The sequence below is a fragment of the Homo sapiens genome, chromosome 11 (assembly GCF_000001405.40).
Source record: "Homo sapiens chromosome 11, GRCh38.p14 Primary Assembly".
Lineage (NCBI taxonomy): Eukaryota > Metazoa > Chordata > Mammalia > Primates > Hominidae > Homo > Homo sapiens.
Window position 1 is genome coordinate 106,243,511 of NC_000011.10, and position 25,352 is coordinate 106,268,862.

At 39.5% G+C, this 25,352-nt stretch overlaps 1 long non-coding RNA gene across 2 annotated transcripts; it reads left to right on the plus strand.

The window, feature by feature from the left end:
- The first annotated feature begins 6,508 nt into the window (after window positions 1-6,508).
- Window positions 6,509-21,395, plus strand: LOC101928535 (uncharacterized). Of its 2 annotated transcripts, NR_120552.1 has the most exons (6): window positions 6,509-6,757; window positions 9,281-9,345; window positions 10,641-11,304; window positions 13,547-13,714; window positions 16,841-16,926; window positions 19,196-19,718. It is a non-coding gene; the product is annotated as an uncharacterized LOC101928535 (long non-coding RNA). The 2 variants fall into 2 exon arrangements; NR_120551.1 differs by lacking the exons at window positions 6,509-6,757; window positions 13,547-13,714; window positions 19,196-19,718 and adding exons at window positions 7,897-8,001; window positions 19,992-21,395 and having other exon boundaries at window positions 11,208-11,304; window positions 16,844-16,926.
- The last annotated feature ends 3,957 nt before the right edge of the window (window positions 21,396-25,352 follow it).

Sequence of the window (25,352 nt, forward strand, 5' to 3'; positions counted from 1 at the left end):
AGTGTTTCCAAAACTGACCCAGTTTTCCAGCCCAACTAGTCACTTGCTTCTTCATGAAACTTACTGATAATTCCAGGCCAGCTGATGCTCATATATTTGAATTCCTTTTGAACCTATAGTGAATTGCACAAATAATGATCCAGAGGATAACAAATTGACTTTTAGAGTCACATCTGTGTTTAAATCTTGGCTTTCAGTTTATTAACTGTGGTTGTTTGATAAAGTTATCTAACTCCTCTGAGATCAGTTCCTCCTGTACAAAATAGGCATTATAACTACTTTTCTGTAAACATTCAATCCAGTGATTAAATAACATGTTTGAAGTAGCCAAAGGAGTTACTGATCAAAAACAACAAATGCCTTCCACTCAAACATTCATTTATTCATTGTATAAATATTCATCAAGCAATAAGATTTAGTAATATAGGATTAAATAAAAGTCATTTCTTTCAGGAATTCACTATATAGTGGAAGAGAAATTGGTACATAAAGAACTAGGTTATGCTAACACACATTCTATGATAGATGAAGATGTGGGGTGCTAGAGAGCATATTGGAGGAGTAGCTAAGATAGTGTGGGGAGGAGTCAGCCAAGAAAAAAGGAGGAAAAGATCATTATGTGTAAAAGCAGCAGCTTGGCCCAGGAAAGAAGGTGAGAAAGATCCTGCCCTATTTAGAGAAGATTGCATAAATTTCAACATGACTAGAGTGTGAGGAAATTAAATGTTTGGAAAGGTAGGCAGGAGACAGTTCCTAAAGAAATTTAAAAATCACGTTATGAACTTGGAATTTTATCTTAAAAACATGGATGAATTTTAAACTGGAAAAAATAATGTGATTTCACATGTTGTTAAAAAGACAAGTATAGAACTTGTGAATAATTTATTGAATGAGGTAAAAGTATAGGTAAGGCTATTGTTGAAGTAGCTGTTGTTATAGCCTTGGTGTGCAATAATGAAATCCTAAAATTAAGACACCAACATTGGGACTGGACAGAAGAAGGAAAATTCAAGAAAGAGTAAGGTATTGGTGAAACATAGAAGAATGAATGAAGGGCAATTCTCATAATAATGGTGTCAGATTATGTAATCAATCTATTACAAGCTATTTGAGGATTTAGGATTACTGAATCCTCAAATCCCATGATAAATGTTCATGTTATGATTCCAGATGCATCTCTGGATGTAACTTTACTTTCTAATGGGAGGAAACATGCTAGTCAGGCTGATTCAAGTAGCCATCATAGTTGCACCACTCTCCAGGCACCTCTGCGTGTTCAGCAATGCAGAAACTCCCTGAACCGTGTCCTTCTGGGTTTTTATGGAGGCTTTATTACATAGACATGATTAATTAAATGAGTGACCATTAGTAATCAACTCAACCTTCAGACTCTCTCTCCTCCCCAAAAGTGAGGCTGAAAGTTTTAACCATCTAATTATATGGTTGGTTCTTCTGGCAACCAGCCCCCATCATGAAGTCATCCAGGAGCCCACCAAGTGTTTTGTCATCAGAACAAAAGATGCTCTGATTACCCAGGAAATTTCAAGATATTTAGGACCTGAATCAGAGGTTCCCATTACTCAAGAAATTATTAATGTCTTAGAAGATTTGTGTTAGGAACCCAGGTCAAAGACCAAATAATAGAACAGATTATTTTCCAACTGCCCTATTATCTACAAGAGTTTCAAGAGCTCTGTGCCAGGAAGTGGGAGGCAGAGACAATACGTATTTCTTATTATTTTGTTAGCAAAACACCAGGGGTTTGGTCTGGGTCTTGGTGAAGCATTGAAATCCAATCACTGGGACAATCAGTATTGCCAGGGGAGAAAGGTGACAACAGCCAGAGAGAAAGGAGCCAAATCTCAAATCTGTCTCTCCCAGCCAACTAAAATTGGGAGTTTGTATAGTGGGGAAATGAATGCAGTAGCTATATGGTGGATGTCAGGACTTAGGGAAGGGTAAGGAAGCAATAATGATGATTGAGAGTTCTGGCATCTCATTGTCTGGATGCAGTGATCTGGTGAGTTTCAGTTCCTTGATACTGAGAGGCATGAGGGTCGGTTTCCTGAGGAAAAAACTCAGATAAGAGAAAGGTAAGTGATATGGTTTGGATATTTGTCCTGCACAAATCTCATGTTGAAATGTAAATCTCAGTATTGAAGGTGGGGCCTGGTGGGAGGTGTTTGAGTCATGAGGGAAGATACCTGATGGCTTGGTGCTGTCATCATGATAGTGAGTGAGTTCTCATGAGATCTGGCTGTTTTAAAGTGTGTGGCACCTCCCCCATTTTGCTTCTGCTCTTGCCATGTGACGTGTCTGCTCCTGCTTCTCCTTCCACCATGAATGAAAGCTCCTTGGGGTCTCTCCAGAAGCCAAGCAGATGCCAGAACCATGCTTGTACAGCCTGAAGAACTGTGAGCCATTTAAACCTCTTTTCTTTATAAATTACCCAGCATCAGGTATTCCTTTACAGCAGTGCAAGAATGGCCTAACACGGAAAACTGGTACTGAGAAGTGGGGCATTGCTATAAAGATACTTAAATGTGTGGAAGCAGCTCTGGAACTGGGTAACAGGTAGAGGTTGTAAGAGTTTGGAAGGCTCTGAAGACAGGAAGAGAGAGATGAGGGAAAGTTTGGAACTTCTTAGAGAGTGGTTAAATTGTTGTGACCAAAATATTGACAGTGAAGTCCAGACTGAGGAGGTCTAAGATGAAAATGAGGAACTTAATGGGAACTGTAGGGAAGATTACTTGTGTTATGCCTTAGCAAAGAGCGTGGCTTCATTTTGTTTGTTCCCTGGGGACCTGTGGAAGTTTGAACTTAAGAGTGATGAACTGGGTATCTGGTGGGAGAAATTTCTAAGCAGCAAAGCATTCAAGAAGTGTCCTGGCTGCTTGTAACAGCCTATGCTTAGATGTTGGGGCAAAGATATTACTCAAAGTTGGAAGTTATATTTAAAGGGGAAGCAGAGCATAAAAGTTTGAAAAATTTGCAGCTTAGCCATGTGGCAAATAAAAAGCTATTTCAGGAGAGGAATCCAAGTGGGCTGCAAAATAACCACTTGCTAGGGAGATTTGCGTCATTAAGAGAGAGCCAGTTGCTGATAGCCAAGGCAATGGGAAAAAGGCCTGGAAGGCATTTTATAGATCTAAGAGCAGCCCCTCCCATCACAGGCCCAGAGGCCTAGGAGGACTGAATGGTTTTGGGGGCCAGGCCCAAAGCCCTGCTGCCCTAGGCAGCTTCAGGACGTTGCTCCCCACCCAGCTGTTCCAGATCTAGCCACGGCTCAAAAGGGCCTAGGTGCAGATTGGGCTGCCACTTGGAAAGGTGACCTTGGTGGTTTCTATGTGGTGTTAAGCCTGTGGTCATGCAGAGTGCAATAGTAAAGGAGACTTGGCAGCCTCTATCTAGATTTCAGAGGGTGTATGAGAAAGTCCGAGTCCCCAGGCAGAAGCCTGCTGCAGGGGTGGTCCCCTCATAGAGAACCTCTACTAAGGCAGTGCTAAGGGGAAATGTGGGGTTGGGGGCCCCACAGAGAGTCCCCACTGGGGCACTGCCCAATGAAACTGTGGTAAGGGGCCACCATCCTCCAGGCCCTGGAATGATAGATCCACTGGCAGCTTGCTCCTTGAATCTGGAAAAGCTGCTGGCAGTCAACTCCAGCCTTTGAGGGCAGCTGCAGAGGCTGTACCCTGCAAGGCCACAGAGTTAGTGCTACCAAAGGTCTTGAGAGTTCACTGCTTGTAGCATTGTGCCCTGGGTGTGGGACATGGAGTCAAAGGAGATTATTTTGGAGCTTTTGGATTTAATGACTGCCCTCCTAGGGTTCAGACATGTCTGGGACCTGTATCCCCTTTATTTTGGCAAATTTCTCCCTTTTGGAACAGGAATCTTTATCCAATGCCTGTACCCCAGTTGCATCTTGGGAGTAGATAACTCATTTTGATTTTACAGCCTGTTAGGTGAAAGGAATTCATCTCTGGTTGAGACTTTGGACTTTTGACTTGGAACTTAGGATTTATGAATTAATGCTAAAATGAGTTAAGACCTTTGGGAAAGTATGATTTTATTTTGAAATGTTAGAAGGACATGAGATTTGGGGGGACCAAGGATGAAATGATATGGTTTGGATATCTGTCCTGCCCAAATACCACGTTGAAATGTAGTCCCCAATGTTAGGGGGGCCTGGTGGGAGGTGTTTTGGTCATGGGGGCAGATCCCTCATTGCTTGGTGCTGTCCTCCTGATAGTGAGTGAGTTCTCATGTGATCTGGTTGTTTAAAAGTGTGTGGCATGTCTCTCTCCCTCTTCCTCCTGTTTTTGTCATGTGGCAGACCCACTCCTGCTTCACCTTGTGTCATGAGTAAAAGTTCACTAAGCCCTCCCCAGAAGCCAAGCAGATGCCAACATCATGCTTGTAGAGGCTGCAATTAAATCTCTTTTCTTTATAAATTACTCAGTCTCAGGTATTCCTTTATAGTACTCCAAGAATGGCCTAATATAGTAAGTTTCAAGATTTAAGACTGTGAGGGTCAATTTCTGTGTTTATTCAAAAAAACACGTAACTGTCAGTTTTATGGAGAAGTTGGGCTGGTTTTAATTTCACAGTACCACACTGACTTAGCATTATGGTTCCTTTCTAACACTGGATTTTACAAGTAAGTACACAGATGGGCCTAGAAAAAGGTTCAGAAGTTTGCCTGAATTTTGGTTAAGGAAAATATCTTTTTCAGTAAAATTTCAACAATTGTGAATTCAACTTTAGGCATGCTGAATTTGATTTGTAGAGGGAACAGCTAAGTGAAAGGTCTATGAGGCTGTTAGATAAAGGGCATGTAATAAACCACTAGCTGCTGTAACAATCCTCCAATATCTCAACATTTTAATTCAGTAAAAGTTAATTTCTTGCTCATGCAAAGAACAATGCAGTTGTTCTTGGTTGGCAAGAGGCCTTCCCCAGGGTCATTTAGGGACACTGCTCTACAATCTTAATGACCTCACCATTCTCAAGGGTCCATCTCCTCCCCTAGATCTTCTGTACAAACTGGTAGATGGGGAGAAAGTATGAATGATCACATGGAAGGTGTTTTATGTGCTAATCCTAGGGATGGCTTGTTTTATCACCACCGTATTCCATTGACAGAAGCTACTCACATGGCCATACAAAACTCTAAGGAAGGTTGGGAAACATGTAGTCTAGCAGTGTACTCAAAAGGTAGAAAAAAGTGAATTTGGGTGAATTCATAGTAATATCTGTCACATAGGAGTTTATGTTCAGAAATGAGAGTTAAGTGTTAAAGGGCATGTCATTAAAATATAATGTGTAACTGAGGCTATAGACTGGATGAGAATTCAAAGGGAGTAGTGGTAGATAGAGTTAAAAACAAAAGAAGCAAAGAGAATGAAAACTTGAAGAATATTCAGTTTTTTCATCTGTAAAGATTTAAGTGACAGGTGAATGAGCATGAGAAATAGCAACCAAAGGGTTTTAACTTATTAAAATGATAGCTAATATTTATGATTGCTGACTATGTATATGGCACTATGTAATGTTAACAGGGATTCTTTTACATAATCCTTATTGCAACCTGATTGTGCAAAAACTTGTCAGATTCCCTTATTTTTCATGAAGTAACAAAATTGGACAATTAAGTACCTGCCTGGGTCACGCAAGTAGTAAGTAGAAGATCTCGGATTTAAACCTTGTCTGTCTTACTCCAGAGTTCAATCTCCTCATCAGTGTGCCACCATCATCTCTTCACTTTCACCCAATGAAGGTGGGGAAACATGAACACCAAGGGAGGGGTTCCAGGAATGAGGAAATGGTAAACAAATGCTCCAGAGAGTTTCCATAAGAAGTGAATAGTGCCCACGGGAAGGTCATTCTTCCACATTTTTTTTTTTTTTTTTTAGTAAATGCTCATTGAGCATGGGTTTTGTGGCAGTCCCAGTTGGGACAAAGCATGGGTGGAATTCCTTCCCTTATGGAGCTTACAGATCAGTGAACACACTCAGAGGGTGGCAGTGGGAGCCAGATTGCAGAGGATCTAGTGAAACAAAAAAAAACTATGGAGAGAGTGTGAATCAGGCATTTGATACTTCTCTCCTCTGAGTTGGGTTCTAGAGAGACAGACGCAATACTCCATGGTCCTTCTGTGCTTTAAATACAGCCTTATGATCTGAGGCTTCCCTTTCTGTCCCTATTAAAAATGTCCTGTAGGTAGAAGACTTGATAAACTCAGACTCAGTAGGATGCTAATGACTGATGAAGCTTAATATACTAGTTTCCTAGAGGTATATGAATTGTGGGAAACACAGGCAGTCACAGCTTAAATGAATAAATCTCTTTCGATTTTTAGATACCATTGAACAGATGGAGATGGAAATTTATGAGGGTCAGAGTTGCCTTTTTGTTGACCGTGAAATTACATCACAAAAGCAGCTGCTAAGATTCCCTGCTGTCCACAGAGCCTGTATTTAAGAAAGACCATTCAAGATAAGACTGAGCTGTGGAATTATAAAACCTTTGGAAAATCTTTCATGTGAGAACAACATGGGGGCAAGCCTCTGACCAAAATAGCTCAAAAATTTGTGTTACGCAGTTACAGTAAATACCCAAGAGCTTGACGCATAAAACACAACAGCCTCCTGGAGACAGAGGGAGGAGAAAGAAAGATAAAGTCTGTGGCTTTAGAAGAAAAGGAATAACTTAAGAGGCTTGTTTGCTGTTCAGGCTGGCCACCAAGGATGACATTTTGGTAGGTTTGGCATGTTCCTGAGACTGTTCTTAACTTTGTTGGTCCCCTAAAATGTACGTAATTGATGCAACATGTCTGAGGAAGTGGATGAGGTGTGAGAAATCATGGTATTCCTATTCACAAGGGACTACTTTACAACCAGACACAATTATTTTACAGAGAACTCTGGTTTGCAAGAGGACCTGAATATTAATATTAGTTGGTCAATGCATTCTCTCCCTGGATGAGAATTTTTTGTGGGAAGCAGCATAATATAAAATGCCATTCAAGATTCTGCATGTAGCATCAAAGAGTCAGCGAATTCTGGCTCTGCCAACTACTTGGCTGTGGGACCTGGGATATATTACTTACTTTCCATAAGCCTCAGCCTTTTCATATATACAATGGATTTAGAAAGACTAGGGTGAAAGAAGAAAGTGAATTTAGGTATGTAAAATATTTACCATGTGATGGGCAGCTAGCTAGATATTTTACAAATCTGTAATCTGGAAACATGAAAGACAGACTAGCTGGATTTCCTAGGCCAAGAAAGATTTCCTAAGCCTAGCTGGGAAGGTGACCGCATCCACCTTTAAACATGGGGCTTGCAACTTAGCTCAAACCTGACCAGTCAGATAGTAAAGAGAGCTCACTAAAATGCTAATTAGGCTAAAACAGGAGGTAAAGAAATAGCCAATCATCAATCACCTGAGAGCACAGGGGGAGGGACAATGATCACGATATAAACCCAGGCATCCGAGCCAGCAATGGCTACCCTCTTTGGGTCCCCTCCCTTTGTAGGGGAGCTCTGTTTTCACTCTATTAAATCTTGCAACTGCATTCTCTTCTGGTCCGTGTTTGTTATGGCTCGAACAGAGCTTTTGCTCGCTGCCCACCACTGCTGTTTGCTACTGTCGCAGACCCACCACTGACGTCTATCCCTCTGGATCTGGCAGGGTATCCACTGTCCTAATCCAGTGAGGGGCCCATTGCTGCTCCCGATCAGGCTAAAGGCTTGCCATTGTTCCTGCACGGCTAAGTGCCTGGGTTCGTCCTAATGGAACTGAACACTAGTCACCAGGTTCCATGGTTCTCTTCTGTGACCCATGGCTTCTAATAGAACTATAACACTCACTGCATGGCCCAAGATTCCATTCCTTGGAATCTGTGAGGCCAAGAACCCCAGGTCAGAGAACATGAGACTTGCCACCATCTTGGAAGCAGCCCACCACCATCTTGGGAGCTCTGGGAGCAAGGACCCCCCGGTAACAAACAGACACAAGAGAATTAGGTGGAGAATCTTCCAACCAAGTGCTCTTAACCAACAGAATCATACCTTCCAAGGGAGGCTGATTGTCTTGTCTGTTGATCGGGTCTCCATTTCTAAGATGTGAAAGACACACTGACCTGTTTCTGCTTATTGACTTCCTTCTTTCTAGACCTGTGATGACCAGAACACATTCTTTTTTTTTTTTTTTTTTTTTTTTGAGGCAGAGTCTTGCTTTGTCACCCAGGCTGTAGTGCAGTGGTGCAATCTCGGCTCACTGCAACCTCTGCCTCCCTGGTTCAAGCAATTCTCCTGCCTCAGCCTCCCGAGTAGCTGGGACTACAGGCACATGCCACCATGCCTGGCTAACTTTTGTATTTTTAGTAGAGACGAGGTTTCACCATGTGGGCCAGGATGGCCTCGATCTCCTGACCTCGTGATCCACCCACCTCGGCCTCCCAAAGTGCTGGGATTACAGGCGTGAGCCACTGCACCCGACCCAGAACACATTCTTAAATAGGATAGATTAGACTGCCTACTTGTTACATGCCAGTTCTAAGCATGCAACAGAGCCACATTGATTGGCCTTGAGTGGCTCCAAACTACTGACAAATGAATTCACAGACCATCTTAAGCACAATTCTTCATGTAGTTGATTAAATGTGCCATTGTGTGCTCATTCTTGCTATTTTCACATTCAGTGGGTGGTCTTATTATACTTTATAGTGCTTTATGTATTGACTATGGAGATTAGTATATGTTTCTGAAAAATTTAAGTTTTGCTTAAAAGGCTGCAATAAGGTTCAGTTGCAGATAGCAGAGATAGTTCCAGCGAGTTTGAGCAGAAAGGGACTTAGTATAAGGAGTTAGTTGGCTACAACATTGTTCAAAGTGCTGGAAAAGCAACCCTTAGGCTGGGCCTCTAGAAATGACTGTAGAATAAGAGTTACCCTGCAGAACTTGCCCACCAAGAGAGCTGTCATCTTTGTCACAATTGAAAAGTCATGGAGTCAGGAAGCTGCTATTCAAACTGCTGGCCTCAGGTTCATACTACCTTGACTATGACCCAGGAAGTCATTGTCAAATTTGTTGGCTCCAACCCATGTGTCTGCTATAGTCTACACCTGTATCAGATTTTGTACTACTTCTGTTTGCATTTAACCATTTCCAAAACAAATCATTGTGATTGTATCTAACTGGCCTAATCCAAGTCACAATCATAACCATGTACGTAAAGGAGTCTGGGAAATCTTATTTTTAGTTTTTCAACCTTGTAGGATACTATAAGAAGATTGGGATAGATACTGAGTGAGCCTCAGAAAATCAGCTGGATACACCCCAGGCAAGTACTTGTGCTAAGTGATAATTCAGATACTACAGAGAATTCAAAGATAAAGTAAGCCAGATTTTGTCAAGAGCACCTGTCTGTAATCTAATAAAGGAGAAGAGACAAATCCAGTGTTTTCATATGGCATTGCTTCCTAATGAGTCTGATGAGCCAAATGTCCTTCCTAGGTAGTCATAAAACATATTTATCCTATCGTAGCTTTTAAAACACAGTATTGTAATTGTTGGTTATTTTACCTGTGCACTCAGTGGACTGCTAGCTGTTGAAGGCAGGGACCATGTGAATCTTGCTAGCTGTTAAACAGCCAGTGTTTAATCCAGTGCCAATCAATATTTGTTGAATGACTGGATACATGAAAACAAGTGGGAGTCAAAATTACAACCTCTAAGGATGTAGGTGTTCATTTATTATAGAATAGAATATTTTCTTCTTGCCAGTCTTATCTCTAAACTAAATTAGAAGACTCTAAGCAATAAATTGAACACTATGTTAAGAGAATGTGTTTCCTCATGACAGCCCACCAGTCCTGCACTCTCCCTAAATGACAACTACATATTAGTGGCTGGAAAAAGTGGCTATGTTTTCTTTTACTATGAAAGAGGAAAGAGGACATTTCCTTTTGCTAGCAAAGAGGAAACTATTGTGTCACATAAATGAAGCATATTGCTAGTTGCTATAAAAATTAGATTTATAGTCAAGGTTGCCCATTCTGAGTTACTTCTTGGGATAGGCAATACAAAATGTTACAGGATCTGAGATGTTTATAAATAATATTTGAAAACCCACTCACTACTGCTGCTGCTATTAAAATTAGTATTTAGAGTATATAATATGCATGAATTAGAAGGCTTAATACTGTATGGTCTCAAAACTAAATGGCTTATGAGGTCAGGTGCCATTTTACCCCATTTTATAGCTGATGCTCTGAGTCTTGAAGAGTTTTACTGGTCCAATATTATGGGATTAGTGTTATAACAAGTGGATTCTCAAAGTTAGGCCCATCCGATCCCAAAGTTTATGTTTTTAACTGCTATTGTATGTGAGTTTCACCAGTAGTTTTCCTTATTCTGTAAGAAAACTCTTCTTATCATAAATATGAACAGTGTATAGTGATGTCCAGTATATATGATGCTTTCTACATGGCAACTCTTTGTGATGCTCACAGTAACCATGCAAAGCTTTCTATCTCTATGTTAAAAATTCTAAAATAGAAACTTAGAATGCATAGAGCCAAACCTTCAGTGGAGGCATTCTGACACTAAATGCTGATCTTGTGTCTTTTCTTCAAGCTCCCTCCCACCACATGAACTAAAGATCTGCAAGCTGTAACCTTTTCCGAAGGGCTACCTGGGCCTCTGTGTCCATCAGAGCTGATGAGCTGATCTTCATTCACCATAAGTGCAACTATCATGGCTCATGGAGCCCTGGAGAGAGTAGCACATATATTGAACTTCAGTTTTAAAAAGTCTAATACTTTTCTAAAATGACTTGCTATCTATTTCATCCAGAGAAGATTTATTACGTAGCCTTTCTAGCATAAAATATCATTACTTTTAAAGAAAAATCCAATCTAAATTCCTCTAACTACAATGGAAGTCCCCTTTTCTTATTCATTTCTCACTCAAATATGGAACAACCAGTCACTTCCATTAAATCTAATCTTCCTGTATGCTCTTGAAGATAACTACCAGTTAAACAGAGCTATCTATGGGAATGGTTTTTGAAAAAAAATTGCGTTGTTTCAGTACTTTGGAGGATGGCTGATGTTTGCCTTTTCAAGAGATGTATCATGGACTGTTTTTGTTAAACTAACTTGGCTTCAAGAATTTGAGACTAACTCAGATTTTCTCAAACAGTGGGGGATTTGATGCAGCAATATGCAGGCATGGGATATCAGAAAGAGCCAGATAACCAAAGGAAGAGTAGTAGCTGAAGCAGGATTCTAAGACCAAGGTGGGTTAAGTTAGCTCGGAAGCTTGGGATATAAGGCTTTTCATTCTAGGGTTCTAACTTAATGTTGCTCTACATGTGGCTCGACTTTCTCATAATTTTAGATTGTATTTTGTGATTTGCCTTATTTTCTTTGTATTTATTGACTTTAATCCTCAGGAGAGACAATATGAATTTATTTAAGACAGATTAGATCCTAGCTCTGGGTCAGATACTCAGCCTTTATCCAATAAGATTCCCTTCCTCTAGTGACCTGGACCTGCTGGGTAATGGCATCACATGTGCAGATTGTAGCTGTTTCTTTAGCAGAGGCTATGGGCAGAGTCATTTCCACTAGAAGGGGCTGCAGGCATTTCAGGCGATGTGCTAAAACAAAGGCAGTTTCTGCAAAAGAGCACATTCTATTTATTCTACCTTCTGGATGTGGCATGAGTCCATCTATCTCTCTCTATCCCCACTGTAGCTGTTCCAGTTCAGGTCACCATACCTTATGTCTTGACTATAGTAATAGCTTTCATAAATATATATATATATATATATATATATATATATATATATATATATATATATATATATATATATATTCCTGCCTTCTGTGGTGTCCAATTCAAAGCATTTTCAATTCTACAGTCAGAGAGAAAACATAAATTAATCTGATTTATTCTCTTCTAAAAAGTTCCAGTGATTTAGGAGAAACCACATTCTCTAACATAATTTATGAGACCCATGCTGGCTTCTAACTAAATCTCCATCCTCATCTCTAAGCCCCACTTTTACTCTATGGTTTAGTCCATTACCTGTAGACCTTCTACTCTGTTACCTTGGCTTATGAAACACTTCCCTACTTTTTATGGCTAACATTCATTCATGTTTAGGTCCCAGCTGATGCTTTCCCAACCTTCCAGTCTAGATTAGAAGTCCCTCTTAGATATACTTCCAGCATCCTGAAATTGTCATAGAGTTGAATTTCAGTGACCTATTTCATGTATTCTGGTGAAAACTCTAAGTGTGTGAGTGCAGGGGCTGTTATCGGTCATTACTGGCTCTCCAGTGCCTGGTATATGATGAGTACTCTATCAATATATGTTAAATCAACAAGAGAAAGAGAGAAATCATTTTTCATATTATAGTGCTTAAAATCCATATAGTTACAACACCAGGAGTGAACCCCAATGTAAACTATGGACTTTGGGTGGTAACGTGTCAATGTAGGTTCATGAATTGAAAAAAATGTACCACTCTGGTGAGGGATGTCGATAATGGAGGCTATGCATGTCTCGGGGTAGGGGGTGTATGGGAAATCTCTGAACTTTCCTCTCTTCTGTGAACCTTCTCTAAAAGATAAAATCTATTTCTAAAAATTCCTGTTGTGTGTTGTCTCATTTCACATTATACCACCCCTCTCCCTCGTTGGTTTCTGCTCTGGCTTCCCTGGTCTTTTCTCAGTTCTTTGTGACTCTTCCCCTCTCCTTCCACTGTCCTTGTGTATGCCATTTCATCTGCCTGGAACACTCTTCTTGTGCCTGGTTTGCTGCCAGTTAGCTTTCAGATTTTAGCTCAGTTACCTCTTTTTCAGGAAGCCTTTTCTGATTCTATGCCCCAGACTAGATAAAATCCTCCCATTATATGTGACCAGCATCATATACTTCTTCATGACACTAATGACAGTTCTAACTTCGCATTTATTTTTGCAAGTATGTCTGTTTATGGTTATTACAGTCCTAATCTTAGGAAAACACCTGATAAGAGAGGAAAAATAATTATTTGATGAATAAATAATTCATCAAATTTTAGTGTAATATTGTCAGATAAAACATACCATAAGAACATGGTGAATAAGGTGGTGAGAACATCAAAGGTCTTCAGAAATCGGTTACCCGGTGTAGTAAAAAGGACTAGTAACAAAGTATGACATCAAGGGATTGAATCTCTGTTACACAGTAAGCTAGCCATGTGAAGTACATATTACCTCATTTATCTGAATTTCAACTTCTACAATGGTAAAATGGGGATAATTTTTTTCCCTTTCTGAAAATTAAAGGAGATAAAACAGGTAAATATCTCTGTAAGCTGCCATATAAGGACAGATATAGTGGCAAAGTTCAATTTTCTTCAAGGTAAATTATAAGCAAACATAGATGTAGAGCATAATTTTCTTCAAAGCCAAAGTTTGCCCTATAAAAAGACAGTAAAAACTGAAAAAATGTTTGAAATTTTAATTTTTTTTTCATTTTGTTTCTAACAGAAATCATTTTCATGCTGCATTACGGTTGCCAGATTAGTCATTAAATAAACAGTATACAATTCATTGAACTCTCTGTTAGCCCATTTGAAAGATGATGAAGTTAGAATGCTTAATATATGGTCCTTTGTGTTTGGAGCAGATAAAAGCGTTCTGGAAAATTCCCAAGAGGTTAGATATTAATGGAAAGATCTGCCTCCCTTGGCCCTAAGAAAACATGATAGTTTCTATAGAACTAGAAATGAAGGATTTGAAAGTAACTTAAAATTAATCCACCTTTAACTTGAAGAGCACAAAGCACATTACGATAAAACAGGTGTTTTACATTATTCATTTAATTTTCACCAGTCCTTTGAGGGAGCTACTATTATTCCAATATTACAAGGAAAAGTAGTTGAGAGAGGAAATACATTTACCTGAGGCCACTTACTCTTTGGTGTCTAGGGTTCAGCCCACCTAAGGCACCTGGCATGTTAGGAGTATCTCTGTGTGCCTTCTCTGTGCTGGCTAATGTGAGAGTTAGAAAAGGAACACAGCTTTTGAAATATTAGAATCCTTTTTAAATCAAATCTGACAATTTTCATGTTGCAGAAGGAGAAAATGAAATTTGAGAAATTGTGTCTCTTGATTAAAGTTACACAAAGAAGGGCAGAATATGTACCTGTCTCATCTAGAACAGCACACAGCAGGGACTCTATAAGTCTTAACTGATTGATCCAGTTTTATGTTCCTCTTATTAAAAAGAAAAGGAGAGATCTTTAGGAGAAGGATCTGATGCTACTCTTAAGGGAAGAATTCAGGGTCCCTGGCTTCTAGGTTCTCTGGGAGTATGGGACTTCCTCTATCAGATTCCCACATATCCAGTCTAATGTCAGACTTTTGACAGTAACTGCAAAACCTAGGCTTTGTGAGTGTTCCTTGGAAAATACTGTGCAGTTCTGGGGCTCAGTGATGATTTTCACATTAATTCACTATTGGACTTTCAATCTTCTGAGACAATGGCGAGTAATTGTAAGGCAGGCAAGTAGCATTTTGAAGGTGTCATGAAATGTACCTTTATCAGTGTTCACAAGACTAGTTAATGACAGAGTAAAATTATGTCCCAGTGTTATATAAACATGTGAGTCCATTTCAGCACTCCCTTTTTCCATTCAAGGAAATCTTGAATTATTTTTCTTCAGAGAAGAGAAGTGAGTTTCAGATTTGGTTCTCTTTCTGCAACTGCTTTGTGTCCTTGAGTAAGACATGCATGGAAGGGGTTAGGTGGTGAAGCAGGTAGACTGAAGCGGAAGTGCTCAGGCTCTGAAGTCAGATCTCAGTTCAAATCTCCTGAGCAGTTTATTTATCTACAGAAGACCCTAGTTCCTGCATTTCTAAAATAGAAATAATTGTGATACTCCTGTCATTGGTACGGAGGGTTAGATGATCTAATTCTAGTAAAGTCTCTTAGCACTTGGGAGGAACTGTGTATTGAGTTTCCACTAAGGAAAGGCCAATATTCCTGCAGAGGAAGACATACCGGCTGCCTGAGGCTTCAGTTCTCCAGTGGCTTTCTTACTCTAAACTGGAGAGGAATGGGCTGGGTCAACAACATTTTCGCAATTGCCCAGAAAGCATAAGTAATGAGTAGTTCTTCCTGTAGTGGCAGGAACATCCATGCTCACCTTTGCACTTCTGCGGAGCTTGGGGATCCCCATCCTTGAGTACCTCAAATCACACTGAGGCTTCCCATGGCCCACCTTTCCTGTCTGTCTAGTTGCAAGGGGCAGGATGAGAATAATTTATCTTTGTCTCCTCTCTCTTCTGCATCATTAATTTTTCCCTCTCTGTTACACCATTCCTATCAGCATACAAATATGCTGCCATTTTCCCCACATTAATATAATGTTTCTTGATCTCATTTTTCAAGTAATACTGTATTTCTTTACTGCCTTTCAGAGCAAAACTTTTAAAAAGACTTGACTTTGTTTATTACTTCCAATTCTTCCTTCTAGTCTTCACCCTTAACACCTCTATGAGAAAGCTCTTGATTGAGGACCTCTGCATGGCTAAATACAATAGAAAATTCTCAGTCTTTTTCTTATTTGAGCACTCAGAAACATTTGGTTAAGCTGATCACTGCCTCCTCCTTGAAATGATTGATTTATTTGGCTTCTAGGACATTGTTATATTCTCCCTCCCTTCATGTTCTCCAGGGCAATATTTTTATAACTCTTCTCTTTGTTATCTCATCCAGTATTATGTTTTCAGTTGCTTCTATACATTGATAACACTTAACCTGTAGATTCATATATATGTGAATCTGACTGTCCAACAGCTCCACTTGGATTGCAGATAGGAATCTTGTCTCAAACCTCACATGCCCCCAAACTAAATCCTGAACTTCTTTCCCCAAATCTGGTCCCTATAATTTTTCCCAACATCATGGTAATAATGATAGCAAACATTTACATGGGGCTATGTGGCAAGTACTATTTTAATAATTTTTTTATATTCACTCACATAATCCTCAACACCATGTGAGGTTGGCATTATTATTACTTCTATTTTGCAATGCAGAATGGAGGAAAATACTTACTTGCCTAGTGTCACAGTGGCAGAGTTGGACTGCAAAGCCAGACTGCCTGGTTCTGGTCTTTCTACTAGCATACTTCCAATTTCTGAAGCCAAGCATTTTGAAATAATCTATGACTTCTCTCTCTTACACCCATATCCAATCCAATAGCAAATCTTGTTGGCAATACTTTCTTGATATATTCAGAATCTGACCACTTACCACCCACATTGTCACAATCCTGGTCCGAGCCATCCTCTGTTTCTTCTGCCCACCTTATGCCCATTGCGATCTGTCTTAGCAAAGCAGCCAAAGGGAGGCAGGTCATGTTACACCTGCTGCTCATGGCTTCCCATCTCTCAGAGTTAAACACAGCATTCATACAGTGACCTCCAAGGACTTAAATCCTCAGCTGTGTCTCCTATTACCGCCATAATCTCACCTTCTACTGATCTCCTTGCTCATTCCACTCCACTCACGCTGGGCTCCTAGTGGTTCCCGGAAGATGTACATGCTTGCTCTTGTCTCAGGCCATATGCACTTGCCTTTCCCTGGCATGTTTTTCTCCCAGATTTCCACATGCCTCGCCTCCTACTTCCTTCAGCTCTTTGGTTAAATGTCATCTTTTTAGTGAAGTTTTCTATTTAAAATTGTCATATCTTACCCTACTGAAGTTATTCCTTCTTCCTTGTTTTAAATTTATCATCCTCTGACTTGCTTTTGTTTATATTTTTTATTCCCAGTAGAATATTAATTTCAGGGCAGAAGAGATTTTTGCTGTTTCGGTCGTGGCATTATCTCCAGTATTTATGTGCCTGGAACATATTAGGTACTTAATAAATATTTATAGAGTTTGTAATAAATGTAAAAATATTTGTAAAAAACGAATAAGTAAATGGTTTTTAGAGATAGAGAAATGAAATAATTAGGATTCCCAATACCATAAGTCATGGGTCACAAAGGTACTTTTTGGTACCAAGGACTGGTTTTGTCGAAGACAATTTTTCCACGAACAGGGATGGGGGATGGTTTGGGGATGATTTAAGTGTATTACATTTATTGTGCTCTTTATTTCTATTATTATTATATTGCATTATGTAATGCTTGATGATATCTGTCACTGATATCTGCCATCTGGGGGTGATGGGAGACAGTGACAGATCATCAGGCCTTAGATTCTCATAAGGAACGTGCAACCTAGATCCCTCGCATGTGTAGTTCACAATAGGGTTTGCACTTCTATGAGAATCGAATGCTGCCAATGATCTGACAGGAGGTGAAACTCAGGCAATAATGTGAGTGATGGGAGCAGTTGTAAATACAAATGAAGCTTCGCTTGCTTGCCAGCCTCTCACCTCCTGCTGTACCACCCAGTTCCTAACAGGCCCCTATGAGGCTGGGGACCCTGTGCTGTGAATGATAATTTAATTTGGAGCCAGATGGAATTTACATATCTTTTAGGGACACCTCCTCATTTAAAAATGAAGAATCTAAGGAAGAGAAATAAAGTATCTACTCAAAACCTTGCTGGTTAAACCTCATGCTTCATGAATGAAGTTGTTTAATCATTTAGGGACTACCTTTCCTGTCCCTTCCCACAAGTCAGCTTCTAAAGTTAACGTTAGATATTGTTATGTAAAAACAAAACCAAAGAAATCTGCAAACTTATAAACATTAAACATTCTAAGGTCTATTTGCTTAAAGATTTTTTCATATTTGTCATTGCATTTTCTCTGTGTTTGGATTAAAAATAGCCAGCTCGCTGCTGATAGTAAGGCCATCAGTTTCACAGCAACATTCAGTTGAAAGCCCAATTAGTCCGAATCTACAAAAAGGCTGCTATTTAAGGCCATGTAGTATGTTATATCAAATGGTATGTTAAAATATATTCTGGAGGGAGATGAAGAGACAGTGCATGAGGTTTATAGCCCTCAAGTCTTTACTTCAAATAAATGAAATACAGGCTTCTCCCAGGTCTGAGGCTTGACTTTCACTCTGAACTCTGAATTCTACCACTTTCATTAGTTTTAGATAAAGGATTTTAAAGTCCAGAGAAAGAACAATGCTGAGCCCTTATTAATCATAGTGCAAATTTTTGGGTGCTCATTGAGGCTTTTAGATTTATTTTATACAACTAGAGTTTTATGGGTCAAAGTTTCCTCAAGTTTGTTGGGCTATATCCTGATGTCATATCAAGAACCATCTTCCTTGGATATCTACTTTTATGTGAATCTCAAGAGATTTGCAAACCTTGATTTATATGTGTATGTTTTTATATAGTGTCATATTCTGGGTAGTAAGTTGCTTCTGGTTCATATTTCTTTCATATAAAGTGCCACAGAAAAACATTTTAGTTATATCACCCTAAATTGAACTTTTTTGACAGTTGTTCATTCCTTAAGCTTGATGGTTAAGCTAACACTTATTACATATATTTTCTGTTATTAGTTTTTCTTTTTAGGGCCTTTAGGCACATGTCTTACTATGAGACAATCAATGCTTAACTTTTCTGAAAGTTGCAATTGAAGTTGTAAATGATTATGTGCTGAAGGAATTGGTTTTGAGTCTGCTGCCTGTTTTTCATGGGATCTGTCCTCCTTTTTATTTTTTCCCAAAGGCCTATACTGGAATATTCAGTGCAAAAATTACAGGAAGATTTAGAAGAAAATAATCAACAGTATAGAAAAAACATCAGTGGATCTGTGTTCTATTGTCATCGATGCTTCCAAAGTTATATTTAAGTGGAACCAATGTACTTACCAGTTACTGAGTTAGGACCCATGATAGATTATATGCTGAATCATTTCATCCAAATTCTTTTCAGCAGTCAAGTGAAGTAGATATTTCTCTTCTTGAGAGTAGGTAGGCAACAGAGCCTGAGAGTAGTTAGCCACTCTAAGCCACATATCCAGTAAGTAACAGAGCCAAGACCTCAGATACAATTCAGATTTTGCTCTAAATGCTAAGGTCTTCTGTTATATTGCTCTGCCTCTTTCCATTGACCTCTCAATTTTCTTTTCAGATCCAACAGGTATTTTTAAAACTATACTAATATAGTAAACTAATATTATGCTTTTTCTTCCTTTCTTTGGCTCCAGTTGCCCATGCTTTGACGAGTGGGATGGCCCTTTGAAGCAGAGACACACCTTTCTCCCTGGGTGCTACCTGAGCACTTCTTACAAAACCATTTGTTTTATTATGACATTTAGCAGATTGTGTTATTTTTACTCACATGCCAAATGCTGTACTTCAATATGAGCTTTTCAAGAAGTAAAGAATAGTGAATTATTCCTATTTGTAACACAGATATGAGCCACCAGGGGCAACTATATGCAAACTAAATTGATAGCTATGAGGTCATAGTGTTGAACTGTTGTTGCGAATACTTCTCTCGTAGACACCCTGAGAAGTGATAGTGAGTTCATGCTAAAGCTACAGTCTAACTTTCTAAAAAGAGTTGAAATTATCTCATATTTAACATTCTGTGAATTCCATGTCCAGAAGAGTTCAGGGTTATCAATGCGGTATTTTCTCAAAATAGAACCACTCTGTTCTCCAAGGACTTAAAATATAGAAGCCCAGGAAATATTCTGTCAGTTATTAAAAATGTCCACTAACACATGAAAAAGTTGTTTGGAATTATAATATTCAATGTGGGAGAGACATAATCATGACCTTCTTAATCCAAAATCAAAACTGTTTTCCCAAAAGGTTAACTGCCTTGTTTACAATTACATAAGTTCTAGCTACATTATCCTCATTTTTATTCTTGTTTCTTCTGGAAAATTTATTGGGTTATTATGCCTTTGAAAGTCATAATGGGTTTTCTGGGATTACTATGTAAGCACTACATAATAATTTCTGTTGGAATTCCCTGCTTTTATTTCTTCACAGCTGCAGCAGAGCCATCAGAAAACAACTCCTGATTTTAGTTGATCAGATTCAAGTCAATGAAAAAATGACGTTTCTGTGTGTCTACTTCGGGCTAAGCACCAGGGTAGGCACAAGAGAGATCACAGGGATGAATTAGTCCTAGCCCCTTGGAGATTATCCTCTCACCCTCTCCCCGCCATAGTTATCTTGGTCCTTTTCACATATATCTTAGCAGGTTCTGTTTCAGGCAAAGTTTCACTTCTGTATATGTTTGTTACTACTGTTCATTTGAGATCTGCCACTAACCCTCATTATGACCTGGGACATGTCTGTGGCCCCTCCACATGCTGGCAGGATAAAAATTGACCAAATATATGATGCTGTCACATAGATGGATCCTATTATTTGGTGATTACATTGAAATCTTTACTGTAAAAATTGTGTTGTCAAAAATGAAAACAGATGATACTGAGTAACTCACTAGTGCCCTAAAGTACTCTACAGCTTTTCAAACAAAATTGAATATTCTTTTCAACATTCTCTCTGTAAAAAAAAAAAACAATTCTATATTAGTGACCCTATATCCAATAGCCAGTTCAAATTTTGTTTTTCTCATGTCATACATCTCTCTTTTGACTTCTCTGAAGTCATCAATCTACTGGCCACTTACCTTGTGACACAGTGGCAGAAGATGTAGGAAAATCTGTGCTACCCATCATTGACTAGCCACTTTACTATCTGAGGTTTGTTAGTCTCAACTGTAAAAAAAGGATCAAATGATCTGGTGTCCTTTTCCATTCAAAGACTCTTGAGGTCAAAAGAATTGAATAGAATCACATTGGAGAAAAACCCTATGAATGTAAGAAATGTGGTTTGGCCTTCAGTTTTCCCAGTTCTTTTTGAAAACATGGAAGAGCTCATGTGGAAGAAAAGCCTTATGAATGTAAGAAGCATGATGAGGCCTTTAGTTGTTCCATTTTCACTTCATGGCATAACTTATTCTGGAGAAAAACTATGAATGTATGGAATGTGGGAATGTTTTCATTTCTCATATGTATGCAAAGAAACATGGTAATAGACACTGAAGAAAATTTTATAAATATAAGAATGCATACTGGATTAAAGTACTAGTAGTATAAAAAATACAGAAAAATGGCGTGAACCCGGGAGGTGGAGCTTGCAGTGAGCCAAGATTGCATAACCGCACTCCAGCCTGGGCGACAGAGTGAGACTCCATCTCAAAAAAAAAAAAAAAAAAAAAGTACAGAAAAGTTATCACTTTTAACAATTACTTTAAAAGTCACGTGAAACTTCTACTGGAAAGAAATCCTACACGTAATATGGAAAGCCTGGTGCAAAATAATTATTGTATAATGCTTGTGAAAATTCACAACATGAATAAAATATTACATGACTTATAAGGTGTTTTGTCCATGACTCACTTTTTTAAAATTTTTAATTTTTAACTTTTGTGGGTATATAGTAGGTATGTATATTTATGGGGTACATGAGATAGTCTGATATAGGCATGCAATGCATAATAATCACACCATGGAAAGTGGAACATTTATCCTTCATATTGCAAATAATGCAATTATAATTTTTAGTTATTTTAAAATGAATAATTAAATTATTTTGATTATAATTACCCTACTAAGCTCTCAAATAATAGGTCTTATTCATTAGTTCTATTTTTTGTTGTACCCATTTACCATTCTCACCTCCCTCCCCAGAGCCCCACTACCCTTCCCATCCTCTGGTAACCATCCTTTTACTCTCTGTCTCCATGAGTTCAATTGTTTTGACTTCTAGATCCCAAAAATAAGTGGGAACATGCAATGTTTTTCTTTCTGTGCCTGGCTTATTTTACTTAACACAATGACCTCCATTTCCATCCATGTTGTTGCAAATGATAGGACCTCATTCTCTTTTATGGCTGAACAGTACCACATTTTCCTTACTATTCATCTGTTGTTGGACACTTAGGTTGCTTCCAAATCTTGTCTACTGTGAACAGTGCTGCAACAAACATGAGGTGCAGATATTGATTCAATATACTGATTTCCTTTCTTTTGGGTATATACCCAGCAGTGGGATTGCTGGATCATATGGCAGCTCAATTTTTAGTTTTTTGAGGAACCTTCAAACTGTTCTTGATAGTGGTCGTGCTAATTTACATTCCCACCAACAGTGAATGAGAGTTCCCTTTTTTCCACATCCTCCCAGCATTTGTTATTGCCTGATTTTTGGATAAAAGCCATTTTCACTAGGGTGAGATGATATTAATTGTGGTTTTGATTTGCATTTCTCTGATGATCAGTGACGTTCAGCACCTATTTTCCATGTGTATGTCTTCTTTAGAGAAGTGTCTATTCAAATCTTCTGCCCATTTTTAAATTGGATTATTAGATTTTTTTTCTATAGAGTTATTTGAGCTCCTTATATATTCTGGTTATTAATCCCTTGTCAGATGGGTAGTTTGCAAATATGCTATCCCATTGATATGGTTTGTCTGTGACCCCACCCAAATCTCATCTTGAATTGTAGCTCCCACAATTCCCACCTGTTGTGGGAGGGACCCAGTGGGAGATAATTGAATCATGGAAGTGTTTTTTCCCATACTGTTCTCATGGTAGTGAATAAATCTCACAAGACCTGATAGTTTTATAGGGGGAAGCCCCTTTCTCTTGGCTCTCATTCTCTCGTCTGCTGCCATGTAAGATGTGCCTTTCGCTTTCCACCATGATTGTGAGGCTTCCCCAGCCATGTGGAACTGTGAGTTCATTAAACTTCTTATTCTTTATGAATTACCCAGTCTCAGATATATCTTTATCAACAGTGTGAAAATAGACTAATACAGTAATCAGTATCAGTAGAGTGGGGTGCTGCTGTAAAGATACCCAAAAATGTGGAAGAGACTGGAACTGGGTAACAGGCAGAGGTTGGAGCAGTTTGGAGGGCTCAGAAGAAGACAGGAAAATGTGGGAAAGACTGAAATGTTCTAGAGACTCATTGAATTACTTTGACCAAAATGCTGATAATGATATGGACAATGAAATCCAAATTTGAGGTGGTCTCCAATGGAGATGAGGAACTTGTTGGGAACTGGAGTAAAGGGGACTCTTGCTATGTTTTAGCAAAGAGACTGGCAGCATTTTGCTCCTGTCCTAGAGATTCATGGAACTTTGAACTTGAGGGAGATGATTTAGGGTATCTAGTGGAAGAAATTATTAAGCAGCAAAGCATTAAAGAGGTGACTTGCATGCTGTTAAAAGCATTGGGTTTTAAAAGGAAAACAGCATAAAAGTTTGGAAAATTTGCAACCTGATGATGTGATAAAGGGAAACCCATTTTCTGAGGAAAAATTCAAGTCAACTGTATTTTCTAGGCCAGGCCCACGGCCCCTTGCTGTGTGCAGCCTAGGAACTTGGTGTCCTGAGTCCCAGCCACTCCAGCCATGGCTAAAAGGGGCCAAGGTACAGCTCCAGCTGTGGCTTCAGAGAGCTCAAGTCTCATACCTTGTCAGCTTCCATGTGGTGTTGAGCCTGCAGGTGCACAGAAGTCAAGAATCAAGGTTTCAGAACCTTTGTGTAGATTTCAGAGGATGTATGGAAATGCCTGGGTGTTCAGGCAGAAGTTTGCTCCAGGGGTGGGGCCCTCATGGAGAACTTATGCTAGGGCAGTGAGGAACGGAAATGTGGGGTTGAAGCCCCTCCACAGGGTCCCCACTGGGGCACTGCCTAGTGGAGCTGTGAGAAGAGGGCTACCATCCTCCGCATCCCAGAATGGTATTCCCACTGACAGCTTGCACTCTGCACTGGGAGAAGTTGCAAACACTCAATGCCAGCCCGTGCGGGCAGCCAGGAGGGAGGCTGTACCTTGCCACAGGGGTGGAGCTGTCCAAAATTATGCAAACCTACCTCTTGCTTTGGTATGACCTGGACGTTAGAGATGAGTCAAAAGAAATTATTTTGGAGCTTTAAGATTTGACTGACCTGCTGGATTTTGGACTTGCATGGGGTCTTTAGCTCCTTCATTTTGGCCATTTTTTTTCTATTTGGAATGGATGTATTTAAACAATGCCTATACCCCCCACTGTATCTAGGAAGTAGCTAACCTGCTTTTGGTTTTACACGCTCACAGGCAGAAGGGACTTACCTTGTCTTGAATGAGACTTTGGACTGTGGACTTTTGAGTTAATGCTGAAATGAGTTAAAACTTTGGGGGGCTGGGTACAGTGGCTCATGCCTGTAATCCCAGTACTTTGGGAGGCCAAGGTGGGTTGATCATTTGAGATTAGGAGTTTGAGACCAGCCTGTCCAACATGGTAAAACCTCGTCTCTACTAAAAATACAAAAAGATTAGCTGGGCATGGTGATACATGCCTGTAATCCCAGCTACTCGGGAGTTTGAGGCAGGAGAATCACTTGAGCCCAGGAGGCAGAGGTTACAGTGATCCAAGATTGCACCACTGCACTCCAGTCTGGGCAATAGTGTGAGACTCTGTCTCACCAAAAAAAAAAAAAAAAAAAAAAAAAAAAGACTTTGGAGAAGGCATGATTGGTTTTGAAATGTGAGGACATGAGATTTGGTGGCAGGGGGAGTGGGGCGGGGGTGGAATGATATGGTTTGGCTCTGCCCACCCAAATCTCATCTTGAATTGTAACTTTTATATTTCCCATGTGTTGTGGGAGGGACCTGGTGGGAGATAATTGAATCACTGGAGCAGTTTTCCCATAATGTAATGATAAGTCTCATGAAATCCTTTGGTTTTATGAGGGAAAACCCCTTTTCCTTGACTCTTATTCTGTCTTGTCTGCCATCATGTAATACATGCCTTTCACCTTCCACCATGATTGTGAAGCCTCCCCAGACACATGGAACTGTGAGTCCATTAAACCTCTTTTTCTTTATAAATTATCCAGTCTTGGGTATGTCTTTATCAACAGTGTGGAAATGGACTAATACAGCCCTTCTGTGGATTGTCTCTTAACTTTGTTGATTTTTCTTATGCTGTGCAGGTTTTTTTCTTTCTTTTACTTTAAATTCTGGGATACATATGTAGAATGTGTAGATTTGTCACATAGGTATACATGTGCCATTGTGGTTTGCTGCACCTACCAACACATCATCTAGATTTTAAACCCTGCTTGCATTAGGTATTTGTCCTAATGCTCTCCCTCCCCTTGCCCTCCACTCCCAACAGGCCACTGTGTGTGATATTCCTCTCCCTATGTCCATGTGTTCTCATCTGGAAAGTTTGGGAAATTTTCTGACATTATTTCTTTGAATACACTTTTCTCTCCTACCCTTTTACTTCATTCTCCATAAGGCCAATAACTCTTAAATTTGCCCTTTTCAGGCTATTTTCTAGATCTTGTA